The sequence below is a fragment of the Homo sapiens genome, chromosome 5, assembly GCF_000001405.40.
Source record: "Homo sapiens chromosome 5, GRCh38.p14 Primary Assembly".
In the NCBI taxonomy this organism is placed as follows: domain Eukaryota; kingdom Metazoa; phylum Chordata; class Mammalia; order Primates; family Hominidae; genus Homo; species Homo sapiens.
The window spans coordinates 21,829,161-21,847,883 of record NC_000005.10 but is presented as its reverse complement, the minus strand read 5'-3'; the positions used below and the strand labels follow the sequence as shown (position 1 = coordinate 21,847,883).

The 18,723-nt window shown below is 33.9% G+C and overlaps 1 protein-coding gene across 10 annotated transcripts in view; it reads left to right on the top strand.

Annotated features, from left to right (window-relative positions):
- CDH12 (cadherin 12) overlaps positions 1 to 18,723 on the top strand; it is a 1,102,672-nt gene that overhangs the window by 1,005,461 nt on the left and 78,488 nt on the right. For all 10 annotated transcript variants that reach the window (NM_001364104.2, NM_004061.5, NM_001364106.2 and 7 more), the window contains 1 exon segment: positions 5,556 to 5,723. In NM_001364104.2, coding sequence (NP_001351033.1) covers positions 5,556 to 5,723 — 168 coding nt within the window.

Sequence of the window (18,723 nt, the reverse complement as noted above, 5' to 3'; positions counted from 1 at the left end):
ACAAACAGAATAAATACGGGAAATATATAGTGTTTTCAATAGCTTAAAGACTAAGGAGAGAATGTTAGAGAAAGAAATATGAAATATTAAGGAAGAGTATGTATGCTAGACAGAACAGTGATTGCCCAAGTATGTCCATGTCCTAAACCCCAGGACCTGTGAATATGTTATATTACATGGCAAAGAAGAATTAAGGTTCTAATCACATATAGTGGAGATGAGGTGATTATTCTTATTATATGGGTAGACTCCGTGTAATCACAAGGGTTCTTGTATGCAGAAGAAGGAAGCAGAAGGGTCAGAGTCAGAAAAAGATATGAAAACGCTAATCTGCTACTGCCTTAGAGGAAGGAAGAAGGAGGTCAGGAGCCAGGGAGTGCTGCCATTGTCTGGATGAACAGCATTTAGAAAAAAATCACAGCTCTACCCATGCCCTGCCCCTTGTTGGCCTCCTTACATCCAGAATTGTAAGATAGTAAGTTTATGTTGTTTTAGGCCAGTAGGTTTGTGGTAATTTGTTACAGAAGCAATCAGAAATTAATTTAGAAAGAAATTTTGGATAGAATGGCTAACACAGTCCTATGAAGATGACTTTTAAAAAAGATCTAAAGGAAGTGGAAGAACTACAAATAAGCATCCCTTGGAAAGAACATTTCTGGCTGGGGAAGACAGTGTGCAAGGCTGCAGTGAATGAGGGAGGGAGTTGTAGAAAAGAAGATCAGAGTTCAGCAGGAAGGTGAAGATTATGTGAGGGCTTTATTCTGAAAGGTGTGGACACTCTGTGATGACTTCAGAGTGGAGGAGCTCTGTGACCTGGCTTACGCTCCAACCTCACCATCATGGCTGCTCTATGGAGAGCAGACTGGTGGTCTAAGTCTCCTTTGAACTATAAACCTCATTGGGTGGAGAATAAAGCCATTTACCCATTGTTCATCTGCCAGTCCCGTGAGTTCATATAGTGCTGGTCTAAATCTCTAGAATTTGGAGAAGAGCAAAAAATTTTTTTGTCATATGCTGTCTACAAAAAACCATTTTCTTCTTTTATGACATTATTCAGAATGATTAAGATAAAGCCTGGACTTGCCTCCCCAGGTATTTAGCTCCAAAGTAAAAGAGGGATAAGTTGAAAACAGACAATAACTTTTTTCAAGAAAACAAACTTCTTCTTTTGCAAAATAAGTAGCTATAGGGTAAAAGAAATCAATGAAATAGATTCTTCAGGGCATATGTAGAAGATGGGGAGAAAGTACAAGAAAAAAATGAGAATAAAATCTATTTTTTGATTAAGATTCACAGAGAGTAGAATAAAAAAGAAAAGATATCACAAAATAATAAATTTACAGTGAACTAAAAAATTATGGTACATATAGGTGGAAAAGTAACATAGCTGTATTAAGAACAGGGAAACAGAAAAACAGACATACTCTTGAAGTGGCGTCATTGTCTGGGATAATGAACCCCAAGGTTCCTTTTCCCATGCTGAGGAAATCAAGGATGCAGACACACAGGGAGTGAGGTTAAGAACGGAGGTTTAATAGGCAAAAGAAAGAGAAAGGCTCTCCTGCAGAGAGAGGGCACCCGAATGGGTTTCTGCTTCTGCAGTGAAATGCAGCAGGTTTTATAGATAAGCTTGAGGAGGTGATGTCTGATTTACACAGGGCACAAAAGATTGGTCAGACCAGGTGTACTGTTTGCATAAGGTGCGAAAAACTGGTTAGGGCTAGGTGTGCCATTTGCACAGTTTGTGAAAATCTGGCCATACCACCCTAATCTTTTGTTATGCAGATGGGTTCTCTACCTGGCTAGTGCCACGTTGCCTAGTTCTTTACTGTACATGTGGTGACAAAGAAAAGGGAAGACAGAGCCTCCATGTTGAACATGCCTGGCTCCTAGGTAGCCCTTTTCTCTCCGCACAGCTGCTGGCATTCCCCCGAGCAAGCTTCCAGCTTGCTTATCTATGTCTGCAGCTCAATTTTTCAGTCTGCTCTTTGCTGGAAAAGAAATAATTTGGCGCTGCTTTTTATTAAAAGGGAAATTTTACCAAGGACTCTTTTACTCTTACTATCTGCCTAAGTAATTTCTTTCTATCTCCTTTATCACTCTGAGCCAGACATTAACTAGATGCCAGAATTAGAAAAGAAAATAAAAGAACTTCTCTCTGTCCTAAAGTGGCTTTCTGTCTGCTAAAGAAAGGTAAACAGGCAACAAATCAAAACATGCAACAAAACATTCTACATGCTATGACTGAATCCTAGGGAGGGTATAGTCATTTCTTCCTGAAGCCATGCTGTGGGTCAGAAAAGGCTTCATGAAAAAAAAAAAAAAAAAGACTAAAGTGGAAGAAACCAGAAAGATGTCCACTAACTGGGCAGGCATTCATGGGGGAACTGAGAGAATGAGGACAAGAAGTTTGGAGAAGGTTAGGGACTCAGTGGACATGGAATGGTTGGAATAGCTGGAGCCTAAGCACTCAAATGTGTGCACTTCACATGGCTTCTTCTCACAAGCTTTGACCATTAGGAGTGGATGACTGGAATGAAGGCATTTCTTGTTGGAGTCTCACAATTCTTACTCTATTTATAGGGGCTAGGTAACATAACAATTCTGTGAATTGCATTATTCAAATGATCCCCTACCAACTTGTCATTTCTTTGAATAAACACTATCTTTACATATATTTATTCATGTGAAATGGTATGATGGATCCTAGACTAGGATTCAAGTTATCAATCCTGACATTCCTTCTGTCACCTATACCTTAGATAAGTCAAGCTTTCCGTTATTCATACAGTTGCTGCTATGCTCCTGAAAATGAATGTAAAAAGCATATCAATCTCATCTAATCTAATCTATCTATCTATCTATCTATCTATCTATCTATCTACCTACCTCAGTAGTCTCAGGTAATAATAAGAATTAACTTCTATTAAGATACAGCAGGACATTTGAAAAGAGTTTGGAATTATTGAAGATAGTCTTCGAAATTGTAGTTGCATTTGTGACTGTCACCAAATAGATGCTAGCAGAAGGTCTATCACTATATCACTATCCATCTATCTATTTCTATAGCTATCTGTCTATTTATCTGGACAGAGAGAGTTGTGGAATTGTTTTTTTCTGGTTATTTGCCAACCTATATAAAAAGCTATCCACTGGGATCCAGTTAGATTAAAACATTAAGATGCAATTGAACAGAGACAAAATAGGTATTATCAGAGTTAAGAGTAGATGTGTATTTTTTCCAGTGATTCATAAAAATTGTCAAGACCTTTTCCATCACACTCACAGCCCTGCCCTCCTGCTCTACCCTGTTTCTGATGAGTGATGTCTCTGCTGCTTCTAGCCCTGCTGTTAGTGTAATGCTACCAACTGGATAGTATGTAGAACTTAGACAGAGGAAAGGATTGTATATGTAGTTTGAAAGTCAATTTCTAGTGATGACCAGGGTGTGCTTCCCCTGCCCCAGCACCACTTCCATTTAAGTACCGCTGTTCCAGAGGAAAAATAATGTAGTTATGTGTATGTTTTTTTTTTGGAGTTGAAATCTGGGTACTAAGCCAAACTCCAAATTTAACATGAGAATCTTTAAACATTGCAATTTATTTTAAGGTGGGAGAAGAACTTTTTCAAGAAGTTATTCTTTTCATAGTACCCCATTTTTATGAATTTCTCAACAATTAAGCAAAAAATGATTGCATCATCTTGGGAAAAGACGATCTTTGCATCTTAATGTTTTAATCTAACTGGATCCCAGTTTATAGCTTTTTATTTAGGTCAGCAAATAACCAGAAAGGAACAACTCCACAATTCTGTCTCTCAGTCCAGATAGATATATAGATATAGAAATAGACTGTTGGATAGTGATAGAAATAATTTTCATGTTGGAAATTTTTATGCTGGAAATGAATTAAGAAAGTTATACATAATTTTCTTATTGAAAATGAATTAAGATAGACTCGGTCAACAACAGGACAAGACATAATGCATATGAATCAAACCCAGGCATCTATCTAGAAAACATAAGCATTGTATGTCAGGCAGAAGTCACATAACTTAAGGTATGTAGAACCAGAACACTCATCGGTAGAGATGAAGAATCTTAGTAAAGAGACTTGGAAATGAAGCTTCAGGAGCCTGAGCTGAAGAAAGGACAAACACATTGGATTAAAAAGGTGTCACCCCATCTCTACTAAAATACAAAATAAGCCAGGCATGGTGGCGCATGCCTGTAATCCCAGCTACTCCGGAGGCTGATGCAGGAGAATCACTTGAACCCGGGAGGCGGAGATTGCAGTGAGCCCAGATTGCACCATTGCACTCCAGCCTGGGCAACAAGAGAGAAACTCTGCCTCAAAAAAAAAAAAAGTGTCAGTACAAATTGATAAATAAAGTAGCAGCAGCATAAATGAAGGCTGTCTTTTTTTTGCAACAATTTCCTGCCAAGAGTCAGAAGAAATCTCAGATTGTCAAATTTAAATCAGTGTTTGTTAAGTAGAGAGTAGAAAGTACAGATAAAACAAGGATGTATGTTGGGTTTATGATTTGGATTCTATATGTTTGTTGATGGTTGATTTATTTTTGTTGATATTATATTTGTTATTTATATATGCTACTTAAAGAAAGTAGCATGTTTCTTAAAGGAAGAAACAACACTATTAAAGCCAGCTGTGTTTAAAACAAATGCTGTCCAATCTCTCCCTAAAGCCATTGACTAAAGATTGGAATTTGGTATGAAATGTATTCATGATTTCATTTGAGAATAATCCAGGAGGTTTTGGTTCTTTTACTATGAATAAATAGGAATATAAACTATTTTTACACTTGGACACCAGGGCAGGAAATGAGGACAATATGTAAATATGTACATGTACTGTAAAGTTCACACTTATAAATTTAATTATTTAGAGATTTATTCACTCAGCCAGTCACTCATTCGGTTAATTGGTTTGCATACACTCATTGTGTTCCTTGTAAATGGCACTGTCCTGGCTGCTGGAGAAACTTAGTGAAATATCTGTTGCTAAAATAACTAACGGGAATTCTGAAAGACAAAATAAAATATGTAATGAAGATATTGAATGCATTTTTAGAAAAGAAATTAGTATTTTTACTCTAGAAAATAAACAGAAAAACAAAGAAGAAAGTAGTAATAATTGGAAATTGCATACTCATTTCAACCACTTCGCATTTTTTGTATTTATATTTTACCTCTAATTTTTAATGATTTCTTCTTTTTAAAGATAGGATCGTGCATATAAATCATGTCTAACTTGGCTTACTTATGAATGATGACTACCTCTTAGAGGTGATACATTGTTCTTTAACCATATTTCTCATTGTGGCATGGCATTTTGTTGTGTAGCTACTATAATATTTTAAATTATGTCCTAACCATTGGACATTTTGAATGTCTCACTTTTTAAAAGATACAATTTTAGCTATTATGTCTCTGTTAGTGATTCTAGGTAGAATCATGTTGTTGTTGCATTTTATTTTATTTCAGAAAACAGAGCATTTGTGATATTTATTTTACATTATTGCTTTTATCCCTTAAGGTGTTATTAGAACAGCTTTGCCAAACATGGACAGAGAAGTCAAAGAACAATATCAAGTACTCATCCAAGCCAAGGATATGGGAGGACAGCTTGGAGGATTAGCCGGAACAACAATAGTCAACATCACTCTCACCGATGTCAATGACAATCCACCTCGATTCCCCAAAAGTATGTCACCTTTCCTGTTAAGCCTAAATTATTGCGGTTTAAAAAAATTTAATGGTGTCATTGAATGCTATGGGAATGACAATCATTTTCCAGACACTTAGTCTTTAGGAAGCAGAAGCTAATGGATTAAAAATTACAAATCTTTTTTTTTTTTTATACTTTAAGTTTTAGGGTACATGTGCAGAATGTGCAGGTTAGTTACATATGTATACATGTGCCATGCTGGTGCGCTGCACCCACTAACTCGTCATCCAGCATTAGGTATATCTCCCAATGCTATCCCTCCCCCCTCCCCCCACCCCACAACAGTCCCCAGAGTGTGATGTTCCCCTTCCTGTGTCCATATGTTCTCATTGTTCAATTCCCACCTATGAGTGAGAATATGTGGTGTTTGGTTTTTTGTTCTTGCGATAGTTTACTGAGAATGATGATTTCCAGTTTCATCCATGTCCCGACAAAGGACATGAACTCATCATTTTTTATGGCTGCATAGTATTCCATGGTGTGTATGTGCCACATTTTCTTAATCCAGTCTATCATTGTTGGACATTTGGGTTGGTTCCAAGTCTTTGCTATTGTGAATAGTGCCGCAATAAACATACGTGTGCATGTGTCTTTATAGCAGCATGATTTATAGTCCTTTGGGTATATACCCAGTAATGGGATGGCTGGGTCAAATGGTATTTCTAGTTCTAGATCCCTGAGGAATCGCCACACTGACTTCCACAATGGTCGAACTAGTTTACAGTCCCACCAACAGTGTAAAAGTGTTCCTATTTCTCCACATCCTCTCCAGCACCTGTTGTTTCCTGACTTTTTAATGATTGCCATTCTAACTGGTGTGAGACGATATCTCATTGTGGTTTTGATTTGCATTTCTCTGATGGCCAGTGATGGTGAGCATTTTTTCATGTGTTTTTTGGCTGCATAAATGTCTTCTTTTGAGAAGTGTCTGTTCATATCCTTTGCCCACTTTTTGATGGGGTTGTTTGTTTTTTTCTTGTAAATTTGTTTGAGTTCATCGTAGATTCTGGATATTAGCCCTTTGTCAGATGAGTAGCTTGCGAAAATTTTCTCCCATTTTGTGGGTTGCCTGTTCACTCTGATGGTAGTTTCTTTTGCTGTGCAGAAGCTCTTTAGTTTAATTAGATCCCATTTGTCAATTTTGGCTTTTGTTGCCATTGCTTTTGGTGTTTTAGACATGAAGTCCTTACCCATGCCTATGTCCTGAATGGTAATGCCTAGGTTTTCTTCTAGGGTTTTTATGGTTTTAGGTCTAACGTTTAAGTCTTTAATCCATCTTGAATTGGTTTTTGTGTAAGGTGTAAGGAAGGGATCCAGTTTCAGCTTTTTATATATGGCTAGCCAGTTTTCCCAGCACCATTTATTAAATAGGGAATCCTTTCCCCAATTGCTTGTTTTTCTCAGGTTTGTCAAAGATCAGATAGTTGTAGATATGCGGCGTTATTTCTGAGGGCTCTGTTCTGTTCCATTGATCTATATCTCTGTTTTGGTACCAGTACCATGCTGTTTTGGTTACTGTAGCCTTGTAGTATAGTTTGAAGTCAGGTAGTGTGATGCCTCCAGCTTTGTTCTTTTGGCTTAGGATTGGCTTGGCGATGCGGGCTCTTTTTTGGTTCCATATGAACTTTAAAGTAGTTTTTTCCAATTCTGTGAAGAAAGTCATTGGTAGCTTGATGGGGATGGTATTGAATCTAAAAAAAAAAAAATTACAAATCTTCAGGGTTGAACATTTTGATGAGATTCATGCCTAGGGTTACTTTAGTAAAAAATAGTGAGCCAATAGTTGAAGTATTGGTCTTATGCTATCAATTTTTATTAAAGTAACATATTCAAAATAAGTTGGGATCTTACCCTAATATTTTATTAACTGAGAAAGTAATATAAATGTCCCAAATCTAATGTAATATGGAGCCTCATAGTTTTGACACATTTCCCACCATATTAGATGCTATGTCATATAATTAACATTAGAATTCTGTGCCTTCTTTTTGGTGATTATATGTGTTGAATCATTTCCAAATATTTTCATGTATCAGATGATATTGATGCTATTTACATTACTTTAGTTCTGACTAGTTATTTCATTTTAGTTTTGTAATAGATGAAAATTGCTATAGTTTCTATGATAATAGAGTAATTCACACCTATGTCTTCTCTATAACTCTGTGTTTCTTGTTGAAAATGAGTTCTCACTTGTGTTACATTTAGTTTTCTGTTGCAGTATTACATCTAACACCAATCACTACCTGTTTTATTCCTGGTGCATTTTCAAGGATCATTTCAGTGTCCCCAGGACTTAGAATACAGAAGCTGCATGTTTCTGTCACTGGTTGTATAAGGATCTTAATTAAGTCACTAGGCAGTCATTTGCATAAACAGTCAAAAAAACACAGTTTTTTCTCTTTCCACTCCAGGAGAGTTTACGAGTTCATCTACTAAAATATATAATATTGAAGATATTTAGCTAAATGAACATTTTATTTATTCCTTTGGCTATATGTAAGTTTTTCCATATTTTACTACTTTGTCATTTTTTTTCTTAAAATCATAAACCTATATTTTACTGATGGAAATGTTTTAGTTTAGTGACCAAATGTCTAAAGGCCAAATGCTTTGAGTGGCAATTAGAAATAATTACACTTTAATGGATATGTTAATTGGCTTGACTGAGCCATCCCACTCCCAATAAGTATACACATTTAAAAACATGTTGTATATATTAAAGGTGAACAATTTCTGTTTGTCAATTAAAATAATTAATTAAAGAAAAAGTAATTCTACTTTTGCATATAAATGTATCTGACAAATGGCTACTATATAATATGCTATGATTAATAACACAGAGAGTCTTAAAGCAATACTTTTCCTTATTTTGTTATTAAGGAAAACAGGAAAAAAGAGATATAAAAGGAGAAAGAAATAATGCATTTGTTTCTCTAATATATGGTGTGACTAATATGATCTCGACACTAAAAACACTGAATTTTTATTTTTTTAACCACTTAAGTGTGGCAAGCTGTAATAGCTAGTTGAGGAGGACAGATTGGGAGACTGCTTGTACATAAAAAGTGGCATTGTGAAATTGGGCGCTGTTTTGGGTTTTGTGCATATGAAATATGTTCAATCTAGAGTGTAGGAAATAGCCAGTGTATTATTAGGTAATGTCAATATCCTCATTCACATGGGTGATAGTGAGGATTCCTATATCAGGGATACAAAGTTACAGCAAGTGGAAGAATGCAATCCATGTGGGTATGGATGAAGGCTGGTTTGTAGAAGTTGGACTTGAGACCCTGACAAATAGCCTGGGCAAAGGGGCATGATGACAATGGCTCAATGGCAAAGAAGCTAGAGTATGCTTAGGAAACCAAGATGGCGTGCTTTACTCCCACTGAAACAAGATGGTCATTTTCGGATCTTAACAAATGAAAAGAGTATCTGAATAAAGTAGTAGTCCTGCTTGGCATTTATTCAAGGTTGAATCTACAGGTCTAAGGGAAAGTCTCTGAGATGTACTTGCAAAAAATGTAGAGGATAAGGGCATTGGAACTTTTTTTTGTTTTGTTTTTGTTTTTTTGAGATGGAATCTCACTCTGTGGCCCAGGCTGGAGTGCAATGGCATGATCTCGGCTCACTGCCACCTCCGCCTCCCAGGTTCCAGCAATTCTCCTGTCTCAGCCTCCCAAGTAGCTGGGATTACAGGCGTCTGCCACTACACCCAGCTAATTTTTTAATTTTTATTAGAGACGGGGTTTCACCACGTTGGTCAGGCTGGTCTCAAACTCCTGACCTCAGGTGATCCACCTGCCTTGGCCTCCCAAAGTGCTGGGATTACAGGCATGGGCCACCATGCCTGGCCAGCACTGGAACTTTTAAAGCATTTACATATGTGTCAAGAACTTTATCATTACTATCTTGATTTCCTTTTCACATCAATACTCTAAGATCACTATTTTCCACATATTACTGTTAAGAAACTGAGGCCTATAAAGAATAATAACTTGCTGAAGATCAACAAAATTAACTGACTTAACAAAAAATCTGAAGTTCAAATTCCTTCCAGTTTAACGTCATATTAAAATAAAAGTTATTAGTTTCCTTTATCTGTCACTCTACAATCTTAGAGCACATCTGCAAAAAAATCACGGCGTATGTTGTCACCACTCATAAACAGGAAAATGAGAGGACAGAAGAAATCTATCAAGGAGATCACTGTGATCAAATTATTTTCTGCTTGTATTACATGAACACTTGGACTATTGTCTGAAACTATAACGGGTGGGGGATATTTTTGAACCAGGAGAAAGAAGAGGTTTTCACATTTTGAATGAATAAAAAATTCATCTCCCTGAAATTTTACATGTTTTTGTATTAAGACCTTTTTACTACACTGTCATTTTGAATTACATCCTTTAGAGGAAAAAACAGAACAAAACATTTATAAAGAGAAAAGCCAATTCTTTAAAAGCCAATGCTCTTTTTGCAGGAATATTTCTCATGTGGCACAATTAACCGTCAAGTGTGATATAGAATTACAAACTGAAATAGTATCCTTTTCAATGTGGAAGTCAACAAAATCTATTCCATACATACATAAGAAAGAATTTCCCACAACTAACTATATTTGTTCGTGACTCTTAAGCACTTATGCTAAAAAAAAAAAAAAAACCTTTCTCCAGATGAACTTTATGAGATACTCTTCTCATTGCTTAAGCTACACAAATTAAGTTCTTAAAATTTACTAATTGTAAAGCATTTTGGCTTTGTGTATGTGACCTCTTAATTTGAGATGGAAAAAAATGTAAATGGCATAGGCATTTGTATCATGCATGTATAGTTTGCTATTTTATTGTTGTTGTAAAATATATAGTTTCTGAGATATCACATACCAGATATCACTGCCAATTTGATATGATGATGTGATGAGGATCTAGACTAATAAATCACTGTGTGTCATGCACTACAGAAAGTGAGTTGCATATATATTCCCATTTAACTCTCATTATGGCAGTATAGCATTTTCTCACTTTTGAAAATAAAGGAGCAAGGCTATATTATTAAGAATGGTTGAATAGATAACTTGTCCAAGAACCCTAACTTCTTAGCACTCTCCCTCTTTAATGGTAATTTGCTTTCAATGCCTGTGTTTTCCCCCAAAAGATCCTACAGATAACCCAGAAAACGGTCTTCAAATAAAGGTAGTAATATTGTTTCAGAAATAGAAATGATACATGCCATATTAAAAGAGCGGTAACTGAAGTTATATAAAGACAAAATAGTTTCTTTACAAAATGTTTTCCGTAGAATTAAATAGCTTCCATCTACTACAATCAAGGATATCTGTAGAGGATTTCCATCTGTTAAAATAAGCTACAGAAAAGTGCTGATGGATTCCAATATATGAATTTTAAAGGACAAAACCATCTAACAAGCTGATCTAAATTATACATTATAAGATTAAATCAATTAAGTGATGCCGTTAATTAACATTTGGCAAAATATTCATAGTTTTCCCAGTTGGTCGCTTTTTCTGTATAATAATTTTGTAAGAAATAGGAAAACAAATTAAGTAAAATAAAGTACTCTGTATACAATATTTGATGAAAAGAGAGTTTTCCATTATAGAAAATGTGAAGGAGTGTGTGTGTGTGTGTGTGTGTGTGTGTGTGTGTGTTTTCCTTTCTATTTCAATATAATAATAGATAAGATAATTGTATGGTAAACAGATTTGAACATAGAAAATAGTACGTCAATAATCGTTCTAAGAAAATTTCTTACTCATAAATACAACAACATTTTAAAGCAATTCTCTGTTTTGATTAAATATCTACAAACGTGTTTATATTGACGGTTTCTATTAAGAGCTATATTATTTTTGATTCTGTTACAAGTCAGTAAAACATCATTTACACAATAATTGCAGAATAAAACATAGTTGTATTATATCATAGTTTTTTAACTTGTTAACACCTGAAGATATAAAAATTCTTATTATTCTGAAATTAACATAAAAAATCAAAATAAAATTGAAGTAGTAAAAGCATCAGCCAGAATGTTTACAGAACAGTGAACAATATTTTGTCTTTGTTTACGTCAGCTGTCAGATTAAAAACAACATATATATGTATGTACGTGTATATATGTACACATATATATGTCTATATGCTATATGTTTTTTCTTCTCCTGTAGATTTATGACATAGAAGGACTACAAGATGTCCAAGTTAATTATTGAATTATTAAAGATAATATGCCAATAACTATACATTTATTCAGTTAAAACTATTGATATGTTTAAGTAAAATGTATTTTCTCTTTTCATCCTGTCATTAATGTTTTTGGCAGCCAGGCTTAGATTGGTTGTTTTATGATCTTGAAATCTACCATAGGTCTTTTTTTTAAAGAAATGTTTTTTAAAATATGTAACTTATAAATATTTTCTTAGAATAAACATGAATTCAGCTACATCTTGATGTGGCCACAAAGTGTATTTCTTTGTTTACTATTTGGCATTCTTAAACTTGGAAAATGGTAAGCTACTAGGCTTAAGTTTTCTTGATAAAACCATATAATAAGTCATTTTGCATAAATAGTGAAAAGCTAATTGAATTTTGACAGTTACATTTTACCATATAAAAACACACCTTTACACTTTGTCAGGTACTTAATGTTTGACTGTCTTAATATCTGAGATTGCCTGCTAAAAACAAGTGTTCTGTGATGTAAATTCATTTGTGTATATATATGTGTATACATATATATATATATACACACACATACGTAACATATATATACAGTCTGAGCATTCATAATTCTTTATAAATTGTTATAAAGCTAAGTGTATGTGTGTGTGTATATATATAGGTATATTCATATAGTCTCAAAGTCATGAAATCATATTCTAGGATAAAATATTTCCTGTTATTTGAGTCCAGAGAAGGCAATCTGCTACCCACAATGTACTGCTGACTTTGTTATTGTTGTGAGTAAATTATATGCCTCTCTCACCTCCCACATTTCCTGGAAAGTCTGGTTAAGAGTCTATTGCCTGCCTGCACAACAAGTGCAAACAACTGATAACACCCCCAGCATACACATAAATGATTCCCCAGAGGGTGAAACAAAGGTGAATTGCCACTCTTATCACTATCTCCAGTATGCTCTCTTAAGTAAATAGATGGAAAATAAAAAGATGGTAGCAAGTACTGTGAAAGCAAATACCAAGGAAGTATGGCTAAAATAATGGCTCTTATGTGAAATCTACAACTATTAAATGAGGATAACTACTTCAGCTTATTCAAATAATTGAGGTTGAAGGGATGGTGTGGGCCAATTTGATCAGCAAGGTTAATGTATAATTATCTAACATATAATTTAATAAAGAAGTTTTGACTACAAAATGCATGGTAAGGTTTTCCTTAATCGAAAGCAGGTGGAGGTTTTAAATAGTAATACACAAAGTTCATGATATGTTAATGTTTCAATTATACAAATATACGTTCGTTTCTAAAGTGTAGTACTGGTGCTTGTTCAGCATCAATTTTAGTATACAGTTTAGTTCTCACAATTCTATTTCTACTAATGTTTAAGTAATTTCCAACAGTTAACACTTTGCTAGCATTCTTTGATAACAAATTTACCTAATCTGCTGTTTTTAGGGCCATGCTTTTCTTCTAAATATCTCCCATGTAGGAAGAGAATGTAACTTTCAAAAGTAGTATTTGGGACATTACTAATATTTTTAATCTAGATTATTTAGATACTGTACATGAATATATTACCCTTTTGGTCAATACTTCCCAAAGATATGAGTAAGACAGAAATAGACAAATAGAACTTTGATGTTGTGTGTGTTTATGTGTATTCATATATATGAGATATATATGTTATATGAATTGTGTGTTATGTGCATGCGTATCCTCTCACTTCGGTGGAAACATTTAAAGGGCATAAAAAATAAAACTGCAAATCTAAGCATTTAAAAATGTTAAACAAAAAGCTATGACCTTGTATTCAGGTACTAGCTGAGTCTCATAACAATTTTAGGCATGAGTAATAGAAATAGAGTCATCACATTTGATGACACTGTCCCTGTTTTTGAAAAATAAGCAAAGATACATTATAAAACCAGCTTTTTTCTAAGTAGAATAAACACATCTAATTTAATTACCAAAAAGCTCCTTTGTCTGCTTCAATAAAAGTAAAAATGAATACATGCTGAAGGTAAAGCATGGCAATGAGAACATAGACCCTATTCTCCAGTAGATCTTACAGTGGCTCTCAAATTATATTTGCCTGAAGAATCCCTTGGGATCCCATATCCCCAGTGAGGGAAGTTCTGTTTCAACTGACATAGCTTGGACCTAAGAAATCTAAATTTTAGATAAGTTTTGTGGTAGATTCTGATACAGGTAGTCTACAGAGCAAACCTGAAGATCACTGGTTTACTGTGGTGAGCCAGCAAGTGCTGATTCCTTGAATCATTTGTATGCATATATATGAGATACATGATATACATATATTCTATATCATATATCATATATTAATGTTTGGTATATATTACATATAATATATGCCATAGATTATATAATATATTACATATAATATATGACATATCACATATGCCATATATTATATATTACATATGATATATAATATATGATATATAATAATATATATCATATATTAATAATATATGTAATTAATAATATATAATAATGTATATTACATAATATATTAATAGATATTAATTATATATAATTATACTATATAATATATAATATATATTATATGTTATATAATATATAATATATATTATATAACATATAACATATAATATATATTATATGTTATATAACATATAATATATATTATATGTTATATAATATATAATATATATTATATGTTATATAACATATAATATATATTATAATATATATATTATATGTTATATAATATATATTTATAATATAATATATATTATATGTTATATAATATATATTTATAATATAATATATATTATATGTTATATAATATATAATATATATTTATAATATAATATATATTATATGTTATATAACATATAATATATATTATATATTATATATTATATATTATATCATATATTATATATAATATATTAATATATGATATTATATATATTATATCATATATCATATTACATAATATGATATTATATATAATATATGATATATATTAATATTATATCATATATTATATGATATATATTAATATTATATCATATATCATATGATATATATCATATATCATATGATTTATATTATTATAATATATATCATATATTATATGATAATATATATATTATATGATATATATTAATATAATATATATCATATATATGATATGTATCATGTGTCTCATATATAATAAGCATTTCCATTACTCATTAAATAGAATGAATAAGTTAATAAGTTAATTGTGTATCTCATGAGAATATTTTGTATTCATGCAAAATTGTATTCCTACAGGTATATTTGGGTAAAGACTAAATATTAAAATCTATTCATTTTAAACTAACTAAACAAACAGACACTCATATATAGTGGTATATCTTGTTTAGACGTCTTCCAAATAGCTTAACAATGTCACATACATGTGCTTTGAGGCTAACATTGGAAATGAATACAATTTGAATGCAAGCTCAGTGAAAAACACTGTGCTCCAGATTCTCCTATAAGGAGATCATGAGTTTTACTAGGCTCTATATAGGCTGATGTAGGCATATAAAAAGAAAATTAGCAAATTTAAAACATAATTTGTCATGGCTATTATTACTAATATCACATTGTCATTTGCTAACGAGAGCATGAATCATTTTTAAGTGGTGCTGAAAATTTTTGTTGACTTACTTAGTTCTGTTCACCATGTCCTAAAGGACAAAGATTGCAACATGGCTGTTTCATGGTGCCATTAGCAGAGTCTCAGAAGAACCTAGCATATGAGCAAAAATATTGACAGGTCCCTTAGAAATCTGACCTTTAGTTTTAAATTATTTTTCTGAAAGATATTAAATAATGCTTAAAATTGAAGTGATATTAAAGATATTGCCCCTAATCTTACCAACGTTATAAAAAATAATGTTAAAGGCCATGGGTCCATTTAATACTTGTAATATTTGTTAATGTTAATCTGTCTACTTTCCAGCTCACTTTAAGTGACTTTTTTAGAAATTAAAATATTGGCAGAGTGGCATGAATAATGTAGTGTTATGTAGTCTACCATACAACTCAAATATGAGACTTTACTTATGACAGAATAAAACCTGTAAGTTCCTAAACAGGCAAACAAATTAAAACATAAAACCTGAATTGGAAAGCTCTTCTATCCCCACCTTTTGGCCTTCCTGCAAAAATACGAGAAAATTGTCTCTTTTGACAATCCCCCGAGAATCAGGGCAAGTACATGGATACAGAAACAGAACTTAGCCAACTTAGTAATAACAAAACATCTAGGCCTCTGGCTGTGATCTCCCCATACCTCTCCTTTATTTACTAAGTCCTCAAGTTCACAAGTCCTTAGCCTGCTTTTCTGAATTTGGCTGCTGGAACTGCATTAGCCAGTTCCCTGATTTCCACAGGTGGTACACTTGCCACTTCTCTTTAGAGAATAGGGCGATCATTATAGAGAGAAAAGCAGCTCACATATATTGCACCTGTGCTATGTAAAGACACCATTAAAATTGTATATTAACTTCCTTAATCCGTATGAGTAGGTTCCGTCTATTTGTACATTTTTAGAAGAGGAAACTGAAAGAAAAAGAGATAGTGAGAGATGGGGCCAGAAACTTTGTAGTTACATGTATGATACAGCAGAACGTAAGTGGATAGCACATTAGAGCTATGGTATTGATGTTTATGAAAATATAGATTACTGCTCCCAACATCAGAATTGTCCCAGTAGCTAGGAGTAGGAGCCCTATATGTGACTATGGGGCTTTCAATCCACTGCTCCACTAATCAAAGCTAAAACGACATTGTTTTAAAGTCTCACTGTATGTTGTTTTTTGTTTGTTTGCTTGGTTTTTTTTTGTTTGTTTTTGTTTTTGTTTTCTTTTTTTGAGACAGAGTCTTTCTCTGTCGCCCCGGCTTGGAGTGCAGTGGTGCCATCTCGACTCACTGCAACCTCCACCTCCCAGGTTCAAGCAATTCTCTGCCTCAGCCTCCCGAGTAGCTGGGATTACAGGCACCCGCCATCATGCCCGGCTAATTTTTTTTGTATTTTTAGTAGAGACAGGGTTTAACCATCTTGGCCAGGCTGGTCTTGAACTCCTGACCTTGTGATCCACCCGCCTCAGGCTTCCAAAGTGCTGGGAATAGAGGCTTGAGCCACCATACCTGGCCTCTGTGAGTATTTTTAAGCTTATAAAGTGATTCGTAAAGCACAGAGGGCCTAGGGTTTTGGAAAGGTACAGATGGGAAACACAGCTCTGCTATTTACTCACTGGGGCCTGACTAAACTGAATAAACTCTCACTGATGCAAAGCTTTTACATAATCAAACAGAGATAATAAATAGAGTGATCAGCTATACTCATGTGCCAGAGATAATTCCATTTTATACCTATGGCCCCAAATTAATTACTCATACTGATTTGTTTTACTCTCAAAAGTGGCTCTGTTTGGCTTATAAATTATATAGCCATATTCATAATAATATACTGTGCTTCTGGGAGAATTAGGTAAATCAATACAACTAAAATATCTGACAGTAAAGATGTTTATTTTTAATTTTTTCCTTCTCCTTGTCCCTCTTATATTTTCCTCTCTTTCTCTTTTCAACGTGCTTGAGTGGAGATGAACAAGTGGTGGTTGAAAATGGAGGATCCTCAAAAGAGAAGCAGAGAAGTGAGAGTCAAAGAAGCATTTCTTTTTTTTTTTTTTTTTTTTTTTTTTTTTTTGAGAAGGAGTTTCACTGTTGTCACCCAGTCTGGAGTGTAATGGTGGGATCTTGACTCACTGCAACCTCCACCTCCTGGGTTTAAGTGATTCTCTTGCCTCAGCCTCCCAAGTAGCTGGGATTACAGGCACCCGCCAACATACCCAGATAATTTTTGTATTTTTAGTAGAGATGGGGTTTCACCATGTTGGCCAAGCTGGTCTTAAATTCCTGACCTCGGGTGATCCACCTGCCTCGGCCTCCCAAAGTGCTGGGATTACACGTGTGAGCCACCACACCAGGCCCAAAGAAACATTTCTAACAGACAAAAACATAGAAGTGATCAATGAGGTTTGGAGAATGGATATACTTAGCCAGATTAAAAAACACATAACTTTATTTAAGTCTTGGGTATAAGAAAACCCAGGTAGGAGAATGAAGTTATGAGGAGAACTTTAGACACACCCTCCTCAATCCTTTAATACATAGATTTCTGACAGCAGCGGCAATCTTTAGTCACAGATGTGAAAGCATCCTAAAGTCACCATTTATTTCACATGGTTTACATTTCTCTATTTCATATTTGCCTTGTTATTGGTCTTAGAAATTATATAGACAAGGAAATGAGACTTCTAAAGTAGTTTTTATGAAAGTTAACAAGAATCTAAGCAATACTAAAAACCATGAAAATGAAAGACTTGGTACATAAGAAATATATTTTGTTAACAAATAACAGACACAAGGGAATATATCATTTGATGAATAATGTTTCGTTCATTGCAAGTATAGAGGATGAAAAAATTATCATTTTCATTTTGCACTGCATAAAGAAGATACAATTTTAATTTCTCCTCTTTAAAAGCTAGTGTAAAAATAGGGAGTGGTTTTTGCTTTTGGTTTTTGGTTTTTGTTTTTTATTTTGAAATGGAATCTCTCTCTCTCACCCAGGCTAGAGTGTGGAGTGCAGTGGCACGATTTGGCTCGCTGCAGCCTCCGCCTCCTGGGTTCAAGCTATTCTCCTGCCTCAGCCTCCTGAGTCATTGAGATTACAGGTACGCACT